Here is a 24,601-nt window from a genome sequence, read left to right as displayed (position 1 = left end):
TCTAATAACCATACCCAACAAAGATAACATTTACTTACAAATCTGGATGCCAGTCTCACTTATGAATATAGTTACCCTAAAATGCCCTACCTAAAACAATAGCAAAATAAATCTAGTTTTCTATTTAAAAAGTAAAGCACTGGCCGGGCGCCGTGGCTCATGCCTGTAATCCCAACACTTTGGGAGGCCGAGACGGACGGATCACGAGGTCAGATCAAGACCATCCTGGCTACCACGGTGAAACCCCGTCTCTACTAAAAATACAAAAAAAAAAACAAAAATGGCCGGACATAGTGGCAGGCGCCTGTAGTCCCAGCTACTCGGGAGGCTGAAGCAGGAGAATGGCGTGAACGCGGGAGGTGGAGCTTGCAGTGAGCCGAGATCGCGCCACTGCACTCCAGCCTGGGCGACAGAGTGAGACTCCATCTCAAAAATAAATATAAATAAATAAATAAATAAAATAAAAATTAAAAAAAAGTAAAGCACTGTGCCCAAGCCAAATTAATCTCAAGTGTACAAAGAGAGGTTAATATTAGGAAACATATTAACATGATTCATCTCATTAATAAATGGAGTAAAGCCTTGTAATCACCTTAGTAGATACTAAAAAGGCATTTAATAGAGCTCAGTATCTGTTCTTAGTTGTTGTTGTTTTTTAAAAATTACTCTTCAGAAACTAGGAATTAAAGGACACACACTGTATTATCATGCTAAATAATAACTATCACAAACTAAACATTACTAATCATTTTGCCTAATGGTGAAAAACTAGAGGATCAGATCAAGAACAAAATAAGGGGCCAGGAGTGGTGGCTCACGTCTGTAATCCTAGCACTTTGGGAGGCCGAGGCGGGTGGATCACGAGGTCAGGAGATCAAGACCATTGTGGCTAACACAGTGAAACCGAGTCTGTACTAAAAATACAAAAAATTAGCCGGGCGTGGTGGCAGGCTCCTGTAGTCCCAGCTACTCAGGAGGCTGAGGCAGGAGAATGGTGTGAACCCGGGAGGTGGAGTTTGCAGTGAGCCGAGATTGCATCACTGCACTCCAGCCTGGGTGACAGTGAGACTCCGTCTCAAAAAAAAAAAAAAAAAAAAAAGAACAAAATAAGAATGTCCCATCTCATAACTAATACATATCATTAATTTGGAAGGCACAACCTCTGCAATATGCAAAATAAATAAAGAGGAAAAGCCAAAATTAACATCTTACTTGCAAATATTTCCAGTTGTCTACTTGGAAATTTCAAGAGAATCAACTGAAAAACTAAGAACGCCAAGTCCTTTGCCAGATATAAAATAAATATACAAAAATTGTATTCTCATATAACACTCATAACCAGGTAGAAAACATCACAGATGGAGAACAGATTGCATTCACGATAGCTATAAAAGCTCAACAAGAAGTAGATCTACGAAGAAAACTACAAAACATTTCTAAGGTTCAAAACCCAACTCAAACTAGCTGAAGCAAAATAAAAGGGGGAGGGGAGTTTACCATAATTGTGATTTGGGGAGGTCATGACTCACAGGTTTTTTAAATAATTGGGGAATTTTCTTTTTCTTTTTCTTTCTTTCTTTCTTTTTTTTTTTTTTTTTGAGATGGAGTTTCGCTCTTGTTGCCCAGGCTGGAGTGCAATGGCACCACCGTGGCTCACCGCAACCTCCTCCTCCCAGGTTCAAGTGATTCTCCTGCCTCAGCCTCCCAAGTAGCTGGGATTACAGGCATGCGCCACCATGCCCGGCTAATTTTGTATTTTCAGTAGAGACGAGGTTTCACCATGTTGGTCAGGCTGGTCTCGAACCCCCAACCTCAGGTGATCCGCCCGCCTCGGTCTCCCAAAGTGCTGGGATTATAGGCATGAGCCACCGCACCCTGCCTAATTGGGGAATTTTCAACCCCAGAAATTTATAAACACTGGTGAAACAAATGTTTATCTTGGGTGATTGATGTTCATGCCCTGCCTAGGTTCCAAGATCTTGACGAGATAACAACTTAAAGCTCTCTACATCTCCAAGTGTTGGCAAACGTAGTTGATTGAGGCAAACCCAAACTGAAAGGAAAGGAGTTTACATTACATTTAGAGTAACAAATAGCCTAAAGCGGTAGCTTCTAGACACAGCGGTAACTCTACTTCACTGACTGGAAGCAGGAAGTGGTATGACCAGTATTAAATAATGTAAGAATGGCCCGAGCACGGTGGCTCACACCTGTAATCCCTGCACTTTGGGAGGCTGAGGCAGTAGATCACGAGGGCAGGAGATTGAGACCATCCTGGCTAACACGGTGAAACCCTGTCTCTACTAAAAATACAAAAAATTAGCCGGGTGTGGTGGCGGGCGCCTGTAGTCCCAGCTACTCAGGAGGCTGAGGCAGGAGAATGGTGTGAACCTGGGAGGCAGAGCTTGCAGTGAGCCCAGATCGCGCCACTGCACTCTAGCCTGGGCGACAGAGTGAGACTCTTGTCTCAAAAAAAAAAAAAAAAAAAAAGCGTAAGAATGAAGACGGACGCAGGCAATCCCCTCTTTTCCTTCCAAATCATCGAGGTTTTGTGGCTGAAATACAGTTCCTCGGTTTGCTTGGGAAATGACATGCAGACACAGTAAGGCTCAGCATTCTGTATAGCATAGATTGGGAATTAACCATGTGACCACATTTGCACCATCTGAAGTTGGAATTCACAAAAAAAATGTGGAAAACTATGATGAGCTATGCATCCGGGAGAAAAGGTCACTGTGCCTGCGTGAGTGTGTGTTGGAGAAGGCTTGTGTTGGTCACCAGTGCCATCTGAAGTCCAGAAGCAGATGTGAACCCAAGATGGCCTCAGACTGCAAACTCCTAGGCCAAAGGGAAATGACCTTCTACCAACAGAGAATCAAGGAAAGTGAGAGAGGGCTCGCAAAACACCGACAAGAGAAAAACCAGGTGGGAAGGTGAGTGCATCTGGCTAATTGGTCACAGACTGTAAATTCCCCTCAAGCATCTTGTTTTAAGCCACATCTGCTGCTGCTACTTAGAAGAGCCTGGATCTTCTGAGGAGTTGCAAAGGAATGCTTGCAAGGACAGATGCTACTCAGGTTTGGTTTGGTTTTGTTTTGTTTTGTTTTGTTTGTTTTTGAGACAGAGTTTCGCTCTTGTTGCCTAGACTGGAGTGCAGTGGCGTGATCTCGGCTCACTGCAACCTCCGCCTTCTGGTTTCAAGCAATTCTTCTGCCTCAGTCTCCTGAGTAGCTGGGATTACAGATGTCCGCCACCACACCCGGCTAATTTTTGTATTTTTAGTAGAGACGGGGTTTCACCATGTTGGCCAGGATGGTCTCAGTCTCCTGACCTCAGGTGATCTACCCACCTTGGCCTCCCAAAGTACTGGGATTACAGGCGTGAGCCACCATGGCTGGCCCGGTTTTTTTGGTTTTTAAAGTGGAATAACAGAAGTACATTTGCTCACAGAGAGTTACTTGGAAGAGGGAAAGACAAAGCAGGAGTGCACGTGGCAGTGGAAGGAAGATGTTGGAAGAGCACTTAGGAAAACCTGAGCTGATTTCCTCATCAGCCTTTCCATTGCCAGGAACTCTCCTGTGCCTGTGGGTGCCAGGGCTGGGCTGGCCAAAGTACAGAGGTCAGAAAGTTCCACCTCCGCCAACTCACGCTCCACATGTGCTCACATCCATGCTTCCTTCAGTCACTGACACTTTTACTGTCCATCTTCTTCTGCTCAAGAGGAAAGGACTCCCATCAGTTCATCCATGCTCCCACGTCAGAAACAGAGTGTGCTTTCCCAGCCAGTGACATTTCCATTTTAAATGGGAACGGAGGAGGAGGCTGACTGTGACAAACAGGAATCTACCAGCAGTGGAATTTTGGGTATCCTGAAGCTGTTTGGGGAAGACACTTGGGAAAAGAAAGGACTTCTTTTTACCCATCAGGTCATCTCTATTTAGGTAACCACTTGGTCCACCCTTGCTAGGTACATGGAATAACTTTGTTTATAGGAACACCGCTTAAGATACAGTGGGGTCCCAACTTGCCCTTCTTTCAGAAGATGCTCCTGCTGCATCCCCAGCTAACAAACATTCATTTATTGAGAGACAGACACTCACTATATCACCTAGGCTAGTCTTGACCTCCTGGGCTCAAGTGATTCTCCTGCCTCAACCTCCCAGGCAGCTGGGACTACAGGTGTGTGCCACCATGCCTGGCTAATTTTACTGTTATTTTTATTTCTTTAGAGATAGGGTCTTGCCGTGTTGCCCAGGGTGGTTTTGAACTCTTGGGCTCAAGCAGTCCTCCTGCTTCAGCCTCCCAGGTAATGGGAACCATAGGCGTGAGCTACTGCATCCGGCTAACAAACATTTATTGAGTACTTGCTGTTGCCTAGCCCTGGAATGATGACCTCTATTCAGCTTGTATGAGAAGTCACGAATGCTGAAATAAAAGATGTCTTTCTCTCTTTCATGTACCAACCAAGGAAGCATCTCCACATCCATTTTGTTGCCACCTCTGGCCCTGACTCTAAGCTTCCTTGGCATTTTAAGTAGATGAAGAATCATTCCATTAAGTGGGAGTGGCAGGAAGGGTGACAGTGATGAGATTCTCATACTCAGTTCTAAAGATGAGTTTCTATACTCACTAAACCACATTAGGAGCAGGATTCACTTTTTCTTTTTTTTTCTTTTTTTTTTTTTTTTGCAAACTCTGGGCATATGCTATCAGACTGTATGCAAAATGATACAAGGTTTGAACATCTCTACATCAAGTTAAGATTGCAGTTTAATGAGGTAAACATAAATGAGAGCTGACGTTTTTGGAGGTTCACTGTGCATTGGACACCATGCCAAATGCTTCCAAAGCATCATGTCATGAAGTCCTCATACCTGTCCTGTATGAACAGATGCTGTTATTCTTCCCATTTACAAGATAAGGCAACTAGTAAATTCATTGAGCTTGTCTCTTGACAGCTTATGTAATTTTCTGTATATGTATTATACTTGAGTAAGATTTATGTTGAAAAAAATAATGAGATGAGGCCCAGAGAAGTTTAGTAACTTGTCTAAAATCACCCAACTAGTATTAGCAGAGGCAGGATTCAGCCACCACCTTTGTCTCACCTTGGAGCTCACACAGCCCCTACTCTGTACAGCTATCCTTTACATTTAAGTATAATTAAAATCATACTGCATGGCAAGCGGTTACTACAAATAACTGCTTTATATTCACTTACACAGCTAATCCAGCTAATCCTTCATTTTGTCATGTCTTCGCTATCTAGAAATGCCCTTGGTTTGTTTTTTTTTTTTTTTAGTCTTTCAACAATTTACTTCTTTTTTTCCTTCCAGCCATTTACAAGTTTATTGTTGAATGAATGAATTCATTAATTAATCATGTCATAACATTTACATTTACACTAATATACATTTTTTTTTTTTTTTGAGAGATGGAGTTTCACTCTCGTTGCCTAGGCTGGAATGCAGTGGTGTGATCTTGGTTCACTGCAACCTCCACCTCCCAGGTTCAAGCTATTCTCCTGCCACAGCCTCCCAAGTAGCTGGGATTACAGGCACGCACCACCACGCCTGGCTAATTTTTTTGAGACAGAGTCTCTGTCGCCCAGGCTGGAGTGCAGTGGTGCGATCTCAGCTCACTGCAAGCTCTGCCTCCCAGGTTCGCGCCATTCTCCTGCCTCAGCCTCCCGAGTAGCTGGGATTACAGGCATGCACCACCATGCCTGGCTAATTTTTTTGAGACGGAGTCTCACTCTGTCTCCCAGGCTGGAGTACAGTAGCACGATCTCGGCTCACTGCAATCTCCGCCTCCCGGGTTCGCGCCATTCTCCTGCCTCAGCCTCCTGAGTAGCTGGGACTACAGGCACCCGCCACCGCCCCCGGCTAATTTTTTGTATTTTTAGCAGAGGCAGGGTTTCACCGTGTTAGCCAGGATGGTCTCAATCTCCTGACCTCGTGATCCGCCCGCCTTGGCCTCCCAAAGTGCTGGGATTACAGGCATGAGCCACTGCGCCTGGCCACACCTGGCTAATTTTTTGTATTTTTGGTAGAGATGGGGTTTCACCATGTTGGCCAGGCTGGTCTCGAACTCCTGACCTCAGGTGATCCACCTGTCTTGGCCTCCCAAAGTGCTGGGATTACAGGCATGAGCCACTGCACCCAGCCTCCTTTTTTTGGGGGGGAGGGGGGACGGAATCTCATTCTGTCGTCACGCTGGAGTGCGGTGGCGCGATCTTGGCTCACTGCAACCTCTGCCTCCTGGTTTCAAGTGATTCTCCTGCCTCAGCCTCCCGAGTAACTGGAATTACAGGCACCTGCCACCACGCCCAGCTAATTTTTTGTATTTTTAGTAGAGACGGGATTTCACCTGTTGGCCAGGCTGGTCTCGAACTCCTGACCTCGTGATTTGCCCGCCTCAGCTCCCGAAAGTGCTGGGATTACTGGTGTGAGCCACCGTGCCTGGTCCCAGCCTACATTTTCAAGATAATATCCTAGATTTGTTCATTTCTTTAATTTGTCTATAAACAATTATTGAATGTCTGCTACATGCTAGGGACCAGGACTATAAAGTTGACTAAGGTGGTCTCTTCTTTCAAGGGGCTCGGAGTCTAATAGGAACAGTTAGGCTTGTTTTAAAAAAGACTAAGTCAATAAAGTGTTATGGGTTCTAAGATAAGATCCCTTCACATAGAGAGGAGGCATCAAGGAAGAAATGGCTAGGATGAATGAGAAAGACCTCATAGAAGAGGTGACTCTGAGTTTTCAAATATAAATTAGTGTTGGCCAAGAGCCAGGGAGGTGGCAGGGCCAACAAGGCTCACTCCATTAGTCTGCTCAAGCTGCCATAACAAAATACCAGGCGGGGTTGCTTAGCCAACAGAAGTTTATTCTCTCAGAATTCTGGAGATTAGAAATCCAAGATCAGGGTGCCAGCAGGGTCGGTTTCTGCTGAGGCTTCTGTCCTTGGGTTGCAGATGGCTGCCTTCTTGCTCTGTGCTCACGTGGCCTTTCCTCTGTGCATGCTCAGAGTATGCAAGTTCAGAGAAGGAAAGAGCCCTCTGGTGTCTCTTCCTCTTCTTATAATGACATCAGTCCTATTGGACTAGTACCCCACTCTTATGACCTCATTTTCATTTTCATTACATTTTCAAAGTTCCTGTCTCCAAATACAGTTACATTGAGGATTTGGGCTTCAACATATGAATGTTGGGGTGATACGATTCAGTCCATAATGCTTACCAACACTAGAGTTTCCCTGGCCCCTAGTTCTTCCTTATGTTTCATCAATGAAGTACCCTCCTCTGCACACACCTTCTTAAGAATCCTTTCCCATGCATTCTTCCCATCCCTGGAAGTCTCTAAGGAGCGATTCCTGATTCCTGTCTGCTCCTTGTTGTCTGCTCTAAAGAGTGTAAGACTGCCAAAGCTCCTGTTTATGAAACGCCTGGCTTCAGATGTTCCACCCTCACTCAGAGCTGATCCTGATGGAGAAGCAACAGTTGCCTTCCATGCAGGAATCTTCTCTTTCAGTGATTCTGTTGTATTTCCAGCTTTCCTGAGCCATTGAGGCCCACCATAGGGTTTTGCACATAGTAAGGGCTCAGAAAATACGAGTTCTCTTCCTCTTTCACTTTATCACCATTAGGCCTTCCAGCCAGACTTCATATCTTTCCTTTCCTTCCTATCTTGTGTTACGCCATCTCTCTCACTAAGAGTTCTTTGCTGACCCTGGGGCCAAATTAGCAAGATGTGACCAACAGCACTGCAATAGACATCAGAAGACCCAAACCCTAGGCCACCTCTAGGCTAGCCGTGGAATCTTCATCATTTGCTTCATCTATAAGATGGAGAAAATAAGACTTGGGCCAGGGGCAGTGGCTCACGCCTGTAATCCCAGCACTTTGGGAGGCCGAGACGGGCAGATCACTAGGTCAGGAAATCGAGACCATCCTGGCTAACACGGTGAAACCCCGTCTCTACTAAAAATACAAAAAAAAAATTAGCCAGGCGTGGTGGCGGGTGCCTGTAGTCCCAGGTACTTGGGAGGCTGAGACAGCAGAATGGCGTGAACCCGGGAGGCGGAGCTTGCAGTGAGCCAAGATCGTGCCGCTGCACTCCAGCCTGGGCGACAGACAGAGACTCCATCTCAAAAAAAAAAAAAAGTACTATAAATGGTGACCACATAAAAAGTTAAACATGACATCTGGGGTTACTGCAAAGCTTAAAATGGATAACATATATGTCACGGTTCTTTGCAAAGTACAAAGTGTCGTATTCACTTCAAAATTAATGACAGTATTCTATTTTTATGGTAACATTTTCTGGGTAGACCGCCGGACCTTCTTACACCTCCTATCTCACTGTCATCACTTATCCAAGGACCTTAATCAGGTCTTTGAGAATTCTTCATAGCTACCTCATGCCCAAGTTATAATGTTCTCATTAAAAAAAAAAAAAGTCTCTAAAATTCCACATCTTCTGTGAGGTCCTCATAAGCTGATTACAGGTAGGGGATGACTTCCCCAGGAAGCCGTGTAAGGCAGTGGCTGCAGACACTGTTTTGAGGGGTCTACAATCTGACTTTCTGGATTGGAATCCAGCTCCATTGGTTACCAGCTGTGAGACCTCGAGCATCCCTTAGATACTCCTAGAATACTGCCTAGAAACTAGAAGTATTCATGGGATCTACCCAACATTGGGAGATTTGTGAGGGTGAAATGAATTATAGCATGTGTATTCTTCAGAACAATGCTTGGCACTTTGTAAATGCTCTCACTATTCATTATTATTTTTCTTTATCTACCTAGGAGACATGGAGGTCCCTGGCTGCTGTGTCCCAGTGGTTATTTAGTGATTGTACCCAATTCAATAATATTGGTGAAATGAATTTAAATTTGCTTAACCAACCAGTATCCATGATGATACCGGATATTCATGTTTTGTTCTATTTTCTGTCAGGTTACTTTAATCTGTCTTGAAAATAATCTTCCTAGAGTTGCTTGCTGGTTGGGTGTAAGGCCTTGTGTTTGGAGAGAAGATGGGGGGCATGAGAGCTGAATAGCTAGTGGCATCTGAGGACTTGGGGCATGGGAACTGCAGAGCACATTCTTAGAAACAGCCAGAGAGCATTCAGCGAGGGGAAGACTTGTTGGCTCAAGAGGAAATTCTGCTGCTTCCAAACCAGCTTGGTGAAGCAAGATGATTCTGCAAGCCCTAGTAAGCCAGGGCCAGGACTGTGAGCTGTGCTGCTGAAGGGGTTCAATGCCAAAGTAAAGAAAGGGGATTCTTTTTAGTTGGAGGTGAGAGGAGGAAACTCCTTCCTGTAGGCCTCAGAATAAAGCATGCTCGAGATTAGCCATTAGCAGGTAGCTGGAGAAATATGAGTGCCTCCTCTTTATTTTGTCTGCTGTAAAGTTATCTTTCTGAAGTCTGTGTTGTGTTATGAAAGAGACAAGTTTAATAAACAGATTCTATTTTTGTTCAAGCTGTGGCTTAGAAAAGCACCATAAATCTCTGAACTGGGAACCCACTGGGCTCTGTATGCCTGTCACTCTCCCTTCCACCACACGGTGGTGACACACCTAAGCTGCAGGTCTCCCACGCCAGTGAATGCTGAAGCCCCACGGACAGGCCCCACGGTGGAGACCGTGACACTGACTTCCAGGATGCCTTTGCTCTACCCTTATATCGTTCATATGTTTAGTACCCATTTATTTGTCTGAGGTTCTTCTTTGTGTAAAGGAATTGCCCTGTGGGCAGGGACTCCGTCCATCCACCTCTGGGCCAGTCCTGTACCTCCTGGATTCCCAGTGCCTCTGCCCCAGCTCCAGCAGCTTCTTCCTTAGCTCTAGTCCTGGTCTGGTTAGCTGGCAGCACCCCATCCAACACTCAGGAACACATCAACACAGGAGAAAATCCCACTTCTCCTTAGTTCAACTAAGGCAAGGCGGGAGGATTTGAAAGAGAACTTTTCCTTGGAAACAACACCAAAATATACACAAAAGCATAAATAAATGAATACGTTCACAGAGTTTAGCCTGCAGAACCAGACTTAAGATAAAACAGCAAGCAATAAAGACTGGCTAGCGGAGCCTTTGGACTGTTCAAAGCCCAGTTTCTTCCCCAACCTCAATCTCTAGGAATCTTGTAGGGCAGTTTAGCAAAGATAGCTCAAATCCTATCCCAAGATAGATTTTATTTATAATTTGTGACCTATGTATTCCAAAGAGGACATGGGTAGTTTACAATAAAAGATGTATGTATATATAAAATCTCAAAGCTGTTAAAGAATAGAAAATGTTTACATGTAGAAGAGAACGTAAATAAAATATGTCCAATTCCTAAACTAATACCATATTTGAGCATTAAATTTAGCACTGAGGATAGAATCTTGGAAAACCAACACAGAAAGGGAAATATGATGTGTACCACAATGGAAGTATTTAATAGGAAAGGAAAGAAACATACTTTTTTTTTTTTTTTTTTTGAGACCGAGTCTCACTCCCATCGCCCATGCTGGAGTGCAGTGGCGTGATCATGGCTCACTGCAGCTTCAAATTCCCAGGCTTAGGTGATCCTCCCTCCCTCCTGAGTAGCTGGGACTACAGGTACCCACCACCACACCCAGCTAATGTTTTGTGTTTTTAGTGGACACGAGGTTTCACCATGTTGCCCAGGTTAGTCGTGAACTCCTCGGCTCGGGTGACTTTTCGGCTTCGGCCTCCCAAAGTGCTGGGAGGTGTGAGCCACTGCGCCCAGCCAAAACATACTTTTTAAGAAAGGCAAGCTTTTTCCTGATACTGAATATTTAATCTCAGTAATTGAAGCATATAATTCTACAGTGATTTTATACAACACACACAAACTCTATTTGGTTGACAGTAATATTTGTTCGGGTTGATTCTACTTCTGGATCCTCATTTCTTCCTAGAACTTGTTCCATGTTCACCATGGCTATGCAACATTCCCTTTTTGAAGCTGACCTTAGGTAGTGCGGAAACCCCCAAAGGGTTGTCTTTTTCAGCAGAGGACATTAGACAAGAATGAGCCTCCCAGGGGACAGGGTTACTGCACCCTAATAAGAAGCATGTACGTCCTGGACTGGGTGGCAATGTGTGCCTTTCCCCTTTTCCAAACAGGAGCTTTTGGTAGCATCCTCAGGGCATTTGTCTACAGGTATATATCGGATATATTGGAAATAACTAAATTACTTGGTCATAATATGGAGAACTATTTATGAACTGGGTTGAGAAGATGACCATTAACCAGAGATCTGGGACTTGTACCACAGAGGCCCCTCCTTCCCTCGCTATACTGTAGCAAGATGTGATTTGAGATTTTTCTCCCGTTGGGAAGGAAGTGAATGCAGTTTTGGTTGTGCTTGGGATAATTATATTTTGATAAATGTATCAAATTTGCTTGAAATTGTATATACCTGTGTGTGTGTTTGTGCGTATACGCGCACACGTGCTTGCTGAGCAGCCAAGAGGAGAGTGTAATGAATGTGTGTTCTCTTCTGTCTCTAACACCCAATACCTGCGTGTTCCATGGCGTTCAGATGCAGGTGGCACTCACCCCCATCCTGCCCTACACCTGCCCTCAATCCACACACAGTGGCATGCATTTGACATAGACTTTCACCTGGTGATGAGTCAAAATAATGGCATAATTTAAAAAGACAAATAGTGCAGGGTGTATTTCAAAAGAGAAAACAGAAAGCAAGAGTCACCTGTTTCACCTTCCTTCCCCTACACCCCACTCTCCAAAGGAAGGTACTTTCAACTCTTTCACACTCTCTTCTTGGTTTTGCTTTCTTATTTCTAAATAATGTACTTGTACTGACATGACTCGATTTGCTTGCAATTCTAGAAGCTGTCTCTTAACTTCCTCCTGTGGGAAATGATTAGTTCTTTCATTGTCCGCCCACACACATGCTCAGGCACTCACACTTCTTTCTCTGTGCTACCAACAGAGTTAAACTACAATTGTTAGTTATCACTCATTGTTTTCATTTTGACCATATCAATATCATTAACAGAGCTACGTAGTTTATTGTAATTAGATCTCCTTTCTCATGCAATATTTTGTGTTTTTTTGGAACTTATTGTCATTTTTCCCTTTGTGTGTTTTGTTTTGTTTTTGTTTTTTTGAGACGGAGTCTTGCTCTGTCACCCAGGCTGGACTGCAGTGGCGCGATCCCGACTCACTGCAAGCTCCACCTCCCGGGTTCATGCCATTCTCCTGCCTCAGCCTCCCGAGTAGCTGGGACTACAGGCGCCCGCCACCACACCCAGCTGATTTTTTGTTTTTTTTTTTAGTAGAGATGGGGTTTCACCATGTTAGCCAGGATGGATTTTCCCCTTTGTCTATTATAATTCTTGCCCTAAATTACTACCAAACTAAAAAAAAAAAAAATTTGTGGGTATCGTCAGATGCACATCAAATAATCTGTCTTTTTTATATTTTCCTTGGGGTCAGCTCTCCTGGAGTCCTCGTCCTTCTAAACCAGTCCAAACTGGTAGCTGTCTAGGACAGCACTCCTCTGCTAGGCCTTCTTAATATCTTCTTGAGACTTTCCATCAACTCTTTCTTCTTTTGGAGCCCTTCATTCCTGGAACTCATTTTCTTGCTTGATTTACCCCCTTAAGCCTCCCCTAGCTTTCTAAGAAAGAGTACTTGGGAAATAAATTTTCTTGAGATAGTACTTGTCCAAAACTATCTTTATTATCTCCCTTGTTGTTGATTGATTGACTGCATATAAAATTTTAGGCCGGAAACAATTTGCACTCCAAATTTTGGAGGCATCTTGCCTTGACTACTAGCTTCCGGTATTGCCATAGAGAAGTCCAGTGCCTGTCTGATTCCAGAACCTTGTTGTACATCCTATTTTGCTCTTAGGAGCATCTCTTTAGTCCCAGCATCCTAAATTTCACACAGAAGGCCTTAGCATAACTTCCCCGCTTACCCCCGTTATTGTGTTGGGTATTTTGTGAACGCTTCAGTTTGAAAATTCATGTCCTTCAGTTCTCAAAACATTTTCTTATAGCTTTCATGATTACCTCCTGTGTTTTCTCTTTTCTTTCCTTCTGCTGCACCCCTTAATTGGATATTGGGTTTCATAGTTTAATCCTTGAATTTCCTTATTTTCTCTTCTGTCTTTCATTTTTTGGTTGTTTTGTTCATTTCTTCAAGTGAGTCTTAAAATTCTTCCATTGAAATTCTTTTATTTATTTATTTATTTATTTATTTATTTTATTTATTTATTTCGAGACGGAGTCTCACTCTGTCACCCAGGCTGGAGTGCAGTGGCGCGATCTCGGCTCACTGCAAGCTCCACCTCCCGGGTTCACGGCATTCTCCTGCCTCAGCCTCCCGAGTAGCTGGGACTACAGGCGCCTGCCACCACGCCCGGCTAATTTTTTTGTCATTTTAGTAGAGACGGGGTTTCACCGCGTTAGCCAGGATGGTCTCGATCTCTTGATCTCGTGATCCACCCGTCTCGGCCTCCCAAAGTGCTGGGATTACAGGCGTGAGCCACCGCGCCCGGCCCATTGAAATTCTTTATAGCTGCTGTCTTCCTTTTTCACTCCAAGGCTTTCTGATTTTTTAATTTATTCTGTTCTAATTTCATAGATATTACATATTTTATCTCTATGATAATTGTAATTATTGTTTCTTTCACATTTTCTTCTGTTCTTTGCGTTGTATCTTGTCATTGGATTCCTTTTTCTGTTTTTTTTTTTTTCAGGGGGAAGGTTGGTTTTTTGTTTTTGGTTTTTTTTTTTTTTGTTTGTTTGTTTGTTTGTTTTGCTTTTCTCCCCCCCCCCCCCCTTGTCAAATGTCTAGTGATGCTTGGCTACCCATTAATGTTAAAGAATGTAGGCCAGGCATGGTGGCTCACACCTGTAATCCCAGCACTTTGGGAAGCCGAGGCGGGTGGATCACAAGGTCAAGAGATTGAAACCATCCTGGCCAACATGGTGAAACCCTGTCTCTACCAAAAATACCAAATTAGCTGGGCGTGGTGGTGCTCACCTGTAATCCCAGCTACTTGGGAGGCTGAGGCAGGACAGTCACTTGAACCCAGAAGGCAGAGGTTGCAGTGAGCCGAGATGTGCCACTTCACTCCAGTCTGGCGACCGAGTGAGCCTCCATCTCAAAACAAAAAAAAAAGAATGTAAAAAGACATATGAAAGTTCTATAGGCATGGGTGGGATCTGTTGAATTGCAGATTTCACAGAAGCATTATCAGGCAGGGGAGGACCTAGTCATTGATTGGGGATCCCAAACAGGACTATCTGCATTTCTTTTGTCTTTGTTTAGTCCATCACTGCTGAGAGGAGCCCTGTAGTCCCCCCTAATGAGTGGAAACTTGGCTGTTAATTGTCTGGGAGCCAAACAGGAAGAGGGGACAGCCAGCTTCTCATGCCCTATGAAAACCAGGATTTCATCTCCCTATTTCCAGCATCTCGTCATATCCCTTTCTTCTTCTGTGCCTGTTGCCCCCATGTTTCAAGCTCCCCAGTCCAGTTTCACCTGTGAACATCTCTCCTGAGAAGATAGGGGAGAGGTAGTTTGCCTGATTGTGTGCGGTGGTGGCAGGGACCTGGGGTGCATCTGGCCCTCATATAGTCTTTAACTAGTCCCCCTGTTTTTAGCCTCACCTGCAGGAGAACCTGATGGAGCCTGCCCCACCCCAAATCTGCTGTTTAGGTTTCATCGTCATCTACTGTAAGACACTGATGACTTATCCATCTGCTTTCCATCTCCTGACATTTTGTTGCTGTATCTGATGGGATGTCATTTTCTCTCCTGTTCTTTTGGTTTATATATTTATACCATTCCCCACTAGTAGAGTTTGGGGAGCGGGGAGAGATAACCAAGGGCATTCAGTTTGCCCACGTGAAATCAACACATGACATACATCATCCTTCCAGGCCTCATTTACAGCCCCGTGAGACAGGTAATGTCATTCCCATATCACAGACAAGAGGCAAAGACCCTGAGAGGTGAGGGCCAGTGCTCAAGGTCACGTAGCTGGTCAGTGGCATAGCCTCAGCTCGAACCCAGGTACACCTCTGAAGCCCACTGTTTCTACTACCACGCCACCCTTTTTCTGAGTCTCTGGGGTTTTGCAGGGATTCCTTTACCACACCGAACAATATTCATCAGGAATACACACCACACACCGTCCCAAGGGGCCACATAGTTCAGCTAACAGGACTTTTTTTTTTTTTTTTTTGCTTCCCTTTGTTCCCTGAAGCAATTATTTCTTTATTTCATTTAAAGACTCAGCCTCTGCAGCTGCTGTAGCCAGCTTAGAGTTGTCTGAAGGTTGAAGACAAGAACCAAAGCCGTGAGCTTACAAGCTATCAAACTTGAAAGATGTATTGAGGTGAAATATCGCTGCAGAGCCTCCCTACCAAACCTTTTTTAAGTGCTTTTTCTTTCCAAAATGAAAAAGAACCGTTTGTACTACACATGCATAAAATCGTCAGCTCTGGCAGTGTTCAAGACAATATTTTTTTGTAACTACCCACCCCAACATAACAGACAGTGTTGTCTCCCAAAGCCAAAATAATTGTGTGTGTTGTGCCCTGATATTTAGAAGTCAAAGATCGGCGTATGTGTGTGGGCCGAAACGTATGCCCTTCCTACTCTCTTTTGGAGAAGAGAGCCTGTGCTAACAGTTAAATAACTTTCGTTTTCATACCGAATATTTAAGTTGCAAATTTGAGCCATGTGGGCAGGGGTTTGAAATCAAGAGAGCTGAACTGCTGAGGTGCTTTTGGAGTTCAACCATTTGGATCAAACGTAGACTGACTTCACGGGGAAGCATTCAAGTTGAGTTTTTCATCCCATCTATGATCTTGCCTTATTTTTTTTTTTAAGCCTTACCAAGTCTGCTATTTCCCTCGGCGTTTCCAAAGCGCTCCATATAGTTATTGGCAAGTGTGGGATGCGGTAATATGGGGATTCCAGAAGAAGTTCGTTACAATTTTTCAGAAGTATTGAGTAAATTAGTCACTTTTGAAGGGAAAATGTGAAGGTATTGTTTGTCTTTAAAGTATTTGTTTTTCTAAGCACAAGTGCCTTAGCAACTGTATGTGAAGACAGGTTTATTTCAGCAGAATTTGTAGTAAACAATGTGTTCATTTATGACCAGGCATTGGTACATGTACTAGTTTCATTTGCAATTTTCAGGCATGATATAACCAGCATGTAACAATTCCAAAAGATGTTTTGCCTTTTTGTATTTATTTAACCAGGGTGATCACTGTTTGGGACTACCAGGCTTGGATAAATAGGCACCCTCGATCTGCCCCATGCAGGAACAGATGGGCATCTCATTGTGTGTAATGTTCTGGGCTTCACCCTGGCTTCTGGAGGCCGGCCTTAGAGAAAAGGCCCATCTAGGTCAGACCAGGAAATGTGGTATTGAAGACACCCAGCAGTCCAGGGCCTCAGGTAGACGGAGATGTCCCAGATGTTTCTCCTTTTTTTTTTTTTTTTTTATCACTACTTTGGACCTCTACACTGGTTTCTGCTGATTCTGGTTGTTTTATATCCAACACCTGCAGAATAGAGTTTGGTGGCTCAGCACCAAAGACAGTGTTTCCGTCCACCAGATGTTGCCTGAGGTGTTTGTTAGAAATGCAGATTCCTGAGTCTGAGCCCAGGCTTCCTGAAGCTGATTCCCTGAGCCTTGGGGCCTGGGAATCTGTTTTTCTCTCTAAGCCCTACCCACAACCTGTGATTCGTGGGCAAATTGTTATTATCCATAGTGTCCAGATTTCCCTGATGATAAGAATCACACGATGCTCTTACTAAAAATACAAATTCCTGGGCCCTCTCCCGGAACCGCTGAATCAGAATCTCCAGGGGGGTGGGGCCTGGGAAGCTGGGAGAATGGAACCTAGTATTCCAGAAAACTTAAGATCCTAAGGCCAAGGTTCCCTGCTGGAAACCATCAGAGGAAATAAAGCAAGCCCCACCCATGACTTTGAAAAACTTTGCCTCTGTTAATTAAAACATAAGACTAAGGGAGAGAACTGAGAAGGATCTTGCGTGTTTCGGCCCCTAGAAAGTCAAGTCAGAAACTTTTTGAGGTTAATTTTACCCATTTACCTGTGATATTTCTAGGACTTTTGAAGTTTTCTAATTCTGCTAAGTCGAAGTCTAGATATAAAGTCAGTCCTTATTATTCTGCTGATTAAAAGATCTAGAGGAAACTTTAAACTTATTTTTTTCCCTGATTATTTCAAAAAGTATGTTTCATTTGCCTTGACTTTTCAAAAACAAGAGTAGCTTTATACACTTTTAAAGAAAAAAAATTTTTTAAACAACTGTCATTGCTCATATCTTCTGAACTTTCCTACTTTATCCATATGTAAACTGTGAGCTTCTGAGGTCCAAAAAAACATGTATTGTTTATCTCCGTATCTCCAGGGTGCAGACCATTGCCTTAAGTGAATGCTGTATGAATTGAGAAGAAAATATTTTATTTTCTCCGTAGTTTATTTTCTTTAGCTAAGACGATCAGAGTTAAACCTAACCTTTTTTGCTTATTTGTTTTGGTGAGCCGTCTTGTAGTTGATCATTGGTTTATTAATTTGAAGATTTACACAAGGCAAGATGCTGATTTTTTAAAAAAGGAAAACTTAGAGACAAACCATACAATTGTACATATCTGAAAAGAGCTGTGCAGATCCCCTGTATCCTGCTGAGGAAATTTCATTGCATAAATGGGTTACTATTAGTTGATGGAAAAATTAAGTTAACTGGAATCCCCAGTTCACTGACCATGCCAGTTAACTGAGGTATGAGTGTCCTGTTTAAACTCTCAGAGCTATTAAATTAAACGATCATGACATGAAACCTCAGAAAAGTCTTATTGTTGTCTAGAAAGATTGTGTACAGGTGTTGCTAGCCTACTTTAGAATAAAAAAGGCTTCAGTATTCTCAAAAATCATTTCCTCTCCCGAGGAAATACACCACAGTAAAACAGCCTTTTCCAGTACTGTAATTGCTGGCTTTCTGCTTCAAAAGAAAATCCTCGAATATGATTCAGGTTACAATTTCCATCAGACTTTTCTGAGTAGACTATAATAATTTTGTGTTTGATTAATAAAATAATTCCAGAAATGAAAAGAAATAGAATTTAATCCATAGAGACCAAGGTTGTTGGAAACATGCAGTTATTGAAAACATTGCTTTTAATTTTGAAAGATGCATACAGTTCAACCTTATTAAATGAAAAGAATGTCGTTCTATCCATTGCGAAAGCTCCACATTCCAAGTTCTCATGGTACTTTTCTTGAGTTTATACTTTAACCCCAGTGACATGAAAACACTGAGAATTCTATTTCTTTTATTTGTTTGTTTGTTTGAGATGGAGTCTCGCTCTGTCACCCAGGCTGGAGTGCAATGGCATGGTCTTGGCTCACTGCAACCTCTGCCTCCCAGGTTCAGTGATTCTCCTGCCTCAGCCTCCTGAGTAACTGGGATTACAGGCGCGCACCACCACACCCGGCTAATTTTTGTAGTTTTAGTAGAGACGGGGTTTCACCATGTTGACCAGGCTGGTCTCGAACTCCTAACCTTGTGATCCGCCCACCTCAGCCTCCTAAAGTGCTGGAATTACAGGTGCGAGCCACCTCTCCTTGCCTGAGAATTCTATTTCAAACACAGAAGGTTGAATATTTATAGAAAGGAAAAAACCCTTTAGTTTAAGAAAAGTAATTTCTAATTGTCCACAGCTTTTTGTCAGAGTAAAGATATTATTTGGACCAGGGTCACAACATCTGTAATTGTGAGTGCTCTGTTTTTCCTATCAAGAATACCTGTCAGGTGTCCTGGGCTCTCTTGTCCCCTGGAATCCCTATCTAGGTTCTACAGCAAATACGTAAACTCTCTTGCTTCTTGACTTTCTACCCAACCTATGCTGGTGTCTTTAGATGTCTACTTGTTAGAGGACATACATGTGCAGTTCTTCAGTTTTGGTAAAGAAAGAAAAAAAAAAAAGATTCATCTCCATAAAGTGACTGTCTCATTTCAAGTATTCAGATTTGCAAGTTAGCTCTTGCCTGGATATTTTCTCTCAGAAATTTTCTTTAGGCTGGTTATGCATGCGGCCACCAGGTGAGCAGGAGAATCTCAATTCTGCCCTTTGTGGCCATATAGGTTGGCCAGAGGAGTGTCTCGTAGGGAAGAAGGCTTATGTTCCATTGGCTGACTTTTTCTTTCCACCGTGATGAATAGCTAAGTCTGAGTTATAAGATGATGCCAGCAGTTTTAAGCGAAGAAAACGGACACCTGGAGACACTAACGTTTCATTCATAAAGAGGATAGCTTCCAGTTGCACCAACTGCGTGCCTTTCTGTTGAACCCTGTCTTACCATACTTTCAAATAATGTAATGTTGGAAGGAATAATGAATGAAGAAATGTACTCTACCAAGGCAAAGAGGAGGGATTATAGTAAGAAAATGTCATCAGGCCGGGTGCAGTGGCTCACGCCTGTAATCCCAGCACTTTGGGAGGCTGAGGCGAGTGAATCACTTGAGGTCAGGAGTTTGAGACCAGCCTGGCTAACACGGTGAAACCCTGTCTCTACTAAAAATACAAAAAATTAGCTGGGCATGATGGCAGGTGCCTGTAGTCCCAGCTCCTCGGGGGGCTGAGGCAGGAGAATGGCGTGAACCCGGGAAGCCAAAATTGCAGTAAGCCAAGATCACGCCACTGCACTCCAGCCTGGGTGACAGAGCCAGACTCCATCTCAAAACAAAACAAAACAAAACATGTCATCAGTACCAAACAAAAATTTATCAAATGTACAAAAACATAAAATGTCCATCTGGAAATCTCAGATAGAGGGGGGAAATGGAGAAGTGGCATCTGATGAGGCCTCCAACAGGAGAGTGGGGAGAAGGCCCCAGGAGGGCCCTGGTGGAGAGGCCTCCAGCAGCTGTCGATGCTAGACCCATACCTGAGCTCTTAGATGGAGTCTCACTCTGTAGCTCAAGCTGGAGTGCAGTGGTGCAATCTCAGCTCACTGCAACCTCCACTTCCCAGGTTCAAGCGATTCTCCTGCCTCAGCCTCCCGAGTAGCTGGGACTACAGGTGTGTGCCACCACACCTGGCTGATTTTTGTATTTTTAATAGAGATGGGGTTTCACCATGTTGGCCAGGCTGGTCTCAAACTCCTAACCTCAGGTAATCCACCTGCCTCGGCCTCCCAAAGTGCTGGGATTACAGGCGTGAGCCACTGTGCCCAGCCTTTTAATATTTTTATAGTCACTCCAAGGGACTGTGTCTGCTTCACAGTTAGGATACTCACAGTAGAGGTGGGTCTGCACCCAGCCCCCCACCCAAACAGGAAAATTTCCCCTGTGGCTCACTACCCAAAAGACAAGTTCTCTGTAATCCCAGTGGAAGAAAACCAAATATCGTGCTGTCAAAACTTGCTCGCAGCAATTCCAAGATTTCTAGAACTAGGCTCACGATCTTCTCCAGCCCTGCTTTTCTTCTGTTTTCTATCTCAATGAGCAAGACCACCAACCACTCCATTTCTCAGGCCAAATACCCAGGAATCATCCCTGCTTCTGCTCAGCCCCTACATCTCGTCCGATGCCAGTTTTCACCAATTCCACCTCCTGAGTGTCTATGAAATCCACAACACTGCTTTTCCTTCCCACAGCCTCACCTTGACTTCAGCCTCTGTCATCTTCTGGATCACTCCTGTCACTTCCTGCATCGCCTTCCTGTTCCAGTTCTGCCCCCTCTAGTCCATTCTCCACGTTGAAGTCAGGAGGAGCTTTGGAAAATGCAGATTTGCGTCTGTGAACCCTCCCCCTCCACCATTACTTCTTCCCGCTGAAACCTCTCAGAGCCTCTCTATTGCCCAGATTCCTTGTCACACCTAGGGCCCTGTGCAATCCACTCTCCTGCTTATCTGTGGCCCACACACATAGACACACAACTCTGCATCCAACATCTTTGTAATTGTTACTGAGGTGTGCCCTACTGTGCCTCCACATCAATTTCCTTACGACAGATTGTGCTTTCTTAACCTGTCTAAGCCTTAGTTTCCTTGCCTGCAGATTGAGAATAGTCCTAGTTGCCTCACAGTAATTTGGCAGGTTCCTGAAAGATCCTGTTGCTATTTGAGTTAAATGTTTATATTAACATGGAGAGAACTGACAGGCACACAGCTCTGAGTCTTCCCATCCAGAAATATGGTATGGATCTGTCTTTGTTCATATTTTCTTTTACGGTTCCTCAGTAAACTTGTGGAATTTTCAAAAAGTCGTTCTGTCCATTTTTGTTCATTCCTTTGTTCTCTGTTCATTAGTTTTTAAAATTTTGTTTCTTTTTTGAGATGGAGTTTTGCTCTTGTTTCCCCAGCTGGAGCGCAATGGTGCGATCTTGGCTCACTGCAACCTCAGCCTCCCAGGTTCAAGTAATTCTCCTGTCTCAGCCTCCCAAGTAGCTGGGATTACAGGCGCCCGCCACCACACCCGGCTAATTTTGTAGTTTTAATAGCAACGGGGTTTGACGATGTCAGTCAGGCTGGTCTCCTGACTTTAAGTGATCCACCCGCCTTGGTCTCCCAAAGATCTGGGATTACAGGCGTGAGCCACTGTGCCCGGCCGTTCATCAGTTATTAATACACTTTTTTCATTGATTTTCTTTTTTTCTTTTTTTTGAGATAGGATCTTACTCACTGTGTCTCCTACGCTGGAGTGCAGTGGCATGATCTCAGCTCACTGCTGCCTTGACCAGCCAGGCTCGAGCAATTCTCCCACCCCTGCCTCGCAGTAGCTGGGACTAGAGGCGTGCACCACCACGCCTGGCTGATTTTTGTATTTTTTATAGAAATGAGGTTTCACTGTGTTGCCCAGGCTGGTCTCAAATGCCTGGGCTCAAGTGATCCACCGAAGTGCTGGGATTACAGATGTAAGCCATCACACCCTGTTATATTTTCTGATTGATTTTAACTGCCTTATGAGAAAGGAGTTGGAATCTATTGATGTATTTTAAGCTATCCTTTTTTCTTTAGTTCAAAAGGGTTTTCTGTGGATTATTTTGTTATTTCCACGTTAGGTGTTCTCATTATCTGCAAATAATAATTTTGTCTCCTGCAGTTCTTGAAGAGGAAAACCAAAAAACAGATGGGGTCAGGCTTGTCACAGTGAAGAAGAGGGTTGTTGTTGGCAGCATGAGGGAGACCTGTTGCTTCTGGGGATGTTCTGTAGCAGGGAAGACAGTGAGAAGTCCATCATAGTCTAGTCTAGAGCTGGGCACCTGGCTGTGAAAGCAGAGAAGATGGTTTGGAAGCTGTGTTACTGGTATCTTAGGTCTTTTTCTACTTCTGTACAACCTTAACTTTATTGTTATGACTATATGTTCGAGTTAGTCAACTCTGATGATAAACTTAGTCAAAGCTGGGTTCAAATCCCAGGCCCAACACTGAAAAGCTCTGAAACCTTAGGTAAATTGCTTAATGCTTCTGAGCGTCAGGTTCATTAATAATAATGATGATGGCCAGCTGTAGTGGCTCACGCCTATAATCCCAACACTGGGAGGCTAAGGTGGGTGGATCACCTGAGGTAAGGAATTCGAGGTGGGTGGATCACCTGAGGTCAGGAGTTCGAGACCAGCCTGGCCAACATGGTGAAACCCTGTCTCTACTAAAAATACAAAATTAGCCAGGCGTGGTGGCGGGTGCCTGTAATCCCAAATACTTGGGAGGCTGAGGCAGGAAAATTGCTTGAACCCGGGAGGTTGCAATGAGCCGAGATTGTGCCACTGAACTCCAGCCTGGGCAACAAGAGTGAAACCCCATCTCAAAAAAAAAAAACAAAAAACAAAAAACACACACACAGAATAATAATGACAATAATAGTAACACCAGTTTACAGTGTGATGATGGGGATTAGAGAGGGGTATGGAAGATCAAGAGTACAGTGCTTGATGTGCAATAGACTCTCTGTAAATGCTTGCTGTAGTCACTCTGCTGCTGTCCTCATCAGATAGTGACAGAGCCAGAGTCCTCCCTTCCAGTGCCCCTTTAGCAGCTCTGGGCCCAAGTCTTAGAAGCTCCCATACTCACGGTACCCCCTGCACCCACCCTGCCCGATCTCCCTCCCCTGCTCTCCGCCTCCCCGTGATCTTTCCTCTCTCCTCTCTTCTTTGGGCTCTCAACCTGTCACCATCACTGCCACTGCCCAAGATCTCTCTTCTGAGCTCCATTATACTGCATATCCAAGAACTTTTTGATATGTCAGCTTAAATCCCTCTGCAGCATATCCAGAACGCCACCTACCCCTAGTTTTCTGTCTCAATAAATAGCATGCCATTGACCCAGTTATTCAAGGTAGAAATTTTGTTTCCTCCTCTCCTCTCACTATAGCCGCCCTTGCTTATCCAAAAAGAAGCTGTGGCATTCTAAAGTATGTTTCTATTTTTTTTTTTTTTCTGAGATGGAATTTCACTCTTGTTGCCCAGGCAGGAGTGAAATGGCGTGATCTCAGCTCATCGCAACCTCCGCCTCCCGGGTTCAAGCGATTCTCCTGTCTCAGCCTCCCGAGTAGCTGGGATTAACAGGCATGTGCTGCCGTGCCCGGCTAATTTTGTATTTTTAGTAGAGACGGGGTTTTCTCTATGTTGGTCAGGCTGGTTTCAAACTCGCGACCTCAGGTGATCCACCTGCCTCGGCCTCCCAAAGTGCTGGGATTACAGGCGTAAGCCACTGCATCCGGCCCTAAAGTATGTTTCAATCCCTCTGTCTCCACTGCCACCACCCCATTTCATGTCACCCTCTTACCCAGATGCTGGGATAGTTCTCTCAAAGAGGTCTTGTTGGCTTTACTTGGACCTGGACACCATACCCTCCGGTCCAGTCTCCACACTGTGACATAAATGACTGTCTAACCTAAAGGAGATATTGCCGCTCCCTGCTTAAACCCTTCACTTGCTTCCCTTGTACTTAGGATAAAATCCAACTCCTTACCATGGCTTCTAGGGCCCTGCAGGACTTAGCCCTGACACTCTCACCAAATTTACCTTGATTTCTCTCCTCACTGGCCAGTTCTAACCACAGTGGGTTTCTTTCCATTCCATGAATCCCTAGCTGCTCTGTGCTTCCCACTCTGCCTGGCTTTGGCTGGCATGGTCTTCACCCAGCTTTATTTACTTTTAGATCTCAACAGATCACCTCATCAGAAAGCCATATCTGACCACCCCATTAAAGTAACTGTTGTCATAACATCTTGTTTATTTCCTTCTTAATGCTTCTCTATGATTTGTAATCATTTTATTGTGTGGTTGTTTGAATGTCTGACTCCCCCATTAGCCTGTCAATTCCTCAGGCACAGGTATCATGTCTATCTTGACCCTTGTTGTATTCCCAGAACCTAACATGGTACCTGGTACAGAGTTGGGTAGAAGCAGATGGAGGCTGACTGGCTTCTGTGTATTCAGCCTAGATGCCTTCATGAGCCATTGAGACCCTGCCTTCACTCATTGAGACCCTGCCCTCACTCATTGAGACCCTGCCCTCACTAACCTTCACCCACTATCATTTCCAGCTATCCCTTCT

General features: G+C 44.2%; 1 protein-coding gene across 3 annotated transcripts in view, besides 2 other annotated features; it reads left to right on the top strand.

Annotated features, from left to right (window-relative positions):
- The window catches only part of STX8 (syntaxin 8), a 325,350-nt gene that overhangs the window by 273,891 nt on the left and 26,858 nt on the right, over positions 1–24,601 (top strand). The gene's annotated exons all lie outside the window — the stretch shown is intronic.
- Positions 773–842: an enhancer, noted in NCBI's record as "active region_11724". NCBI's record gives its function as "activates an Ori minimal core promoter by ATAC-STARR-seq in GM12878 lymphoblastoid cells {active_cell/tissue: GM12878}" and the evidence as "EXISTENCE:reporter gene assay evidence [ECO:0000049][PMID:35858748]".
- Positions 11,566–11,675: an enhancer, noted in NCBI's record as "active region_11723". NCBI's record gives its function as "activates an Ori minimal core promoter by ATAC-STARR-seq in GM12878 lymphoblastoid cells {active_cell/tissue: GM12878}" and the evidence as "EXISTENCE:reporter gene assay evidence [ECO:0000049][PMID:35858748]".

The sequence above is a fragment of the Homo sapiens genome, chromosome 17, assembly GCF_000001405.40.
Source record: "Homo sapiens chromosome 17, GRCh38.p14 Primary Assembly".
Classification (NCBI taxonomy): Eukaryota; Metazoa; Chordata; class Mammalia; order Primates; family Hominidae; genus Homo; species Homo sapiens.
Note: the sequence above shows the minus strand (reverse complement) of the source record. Positions and strands in the feature narration are given on the sequence as shown.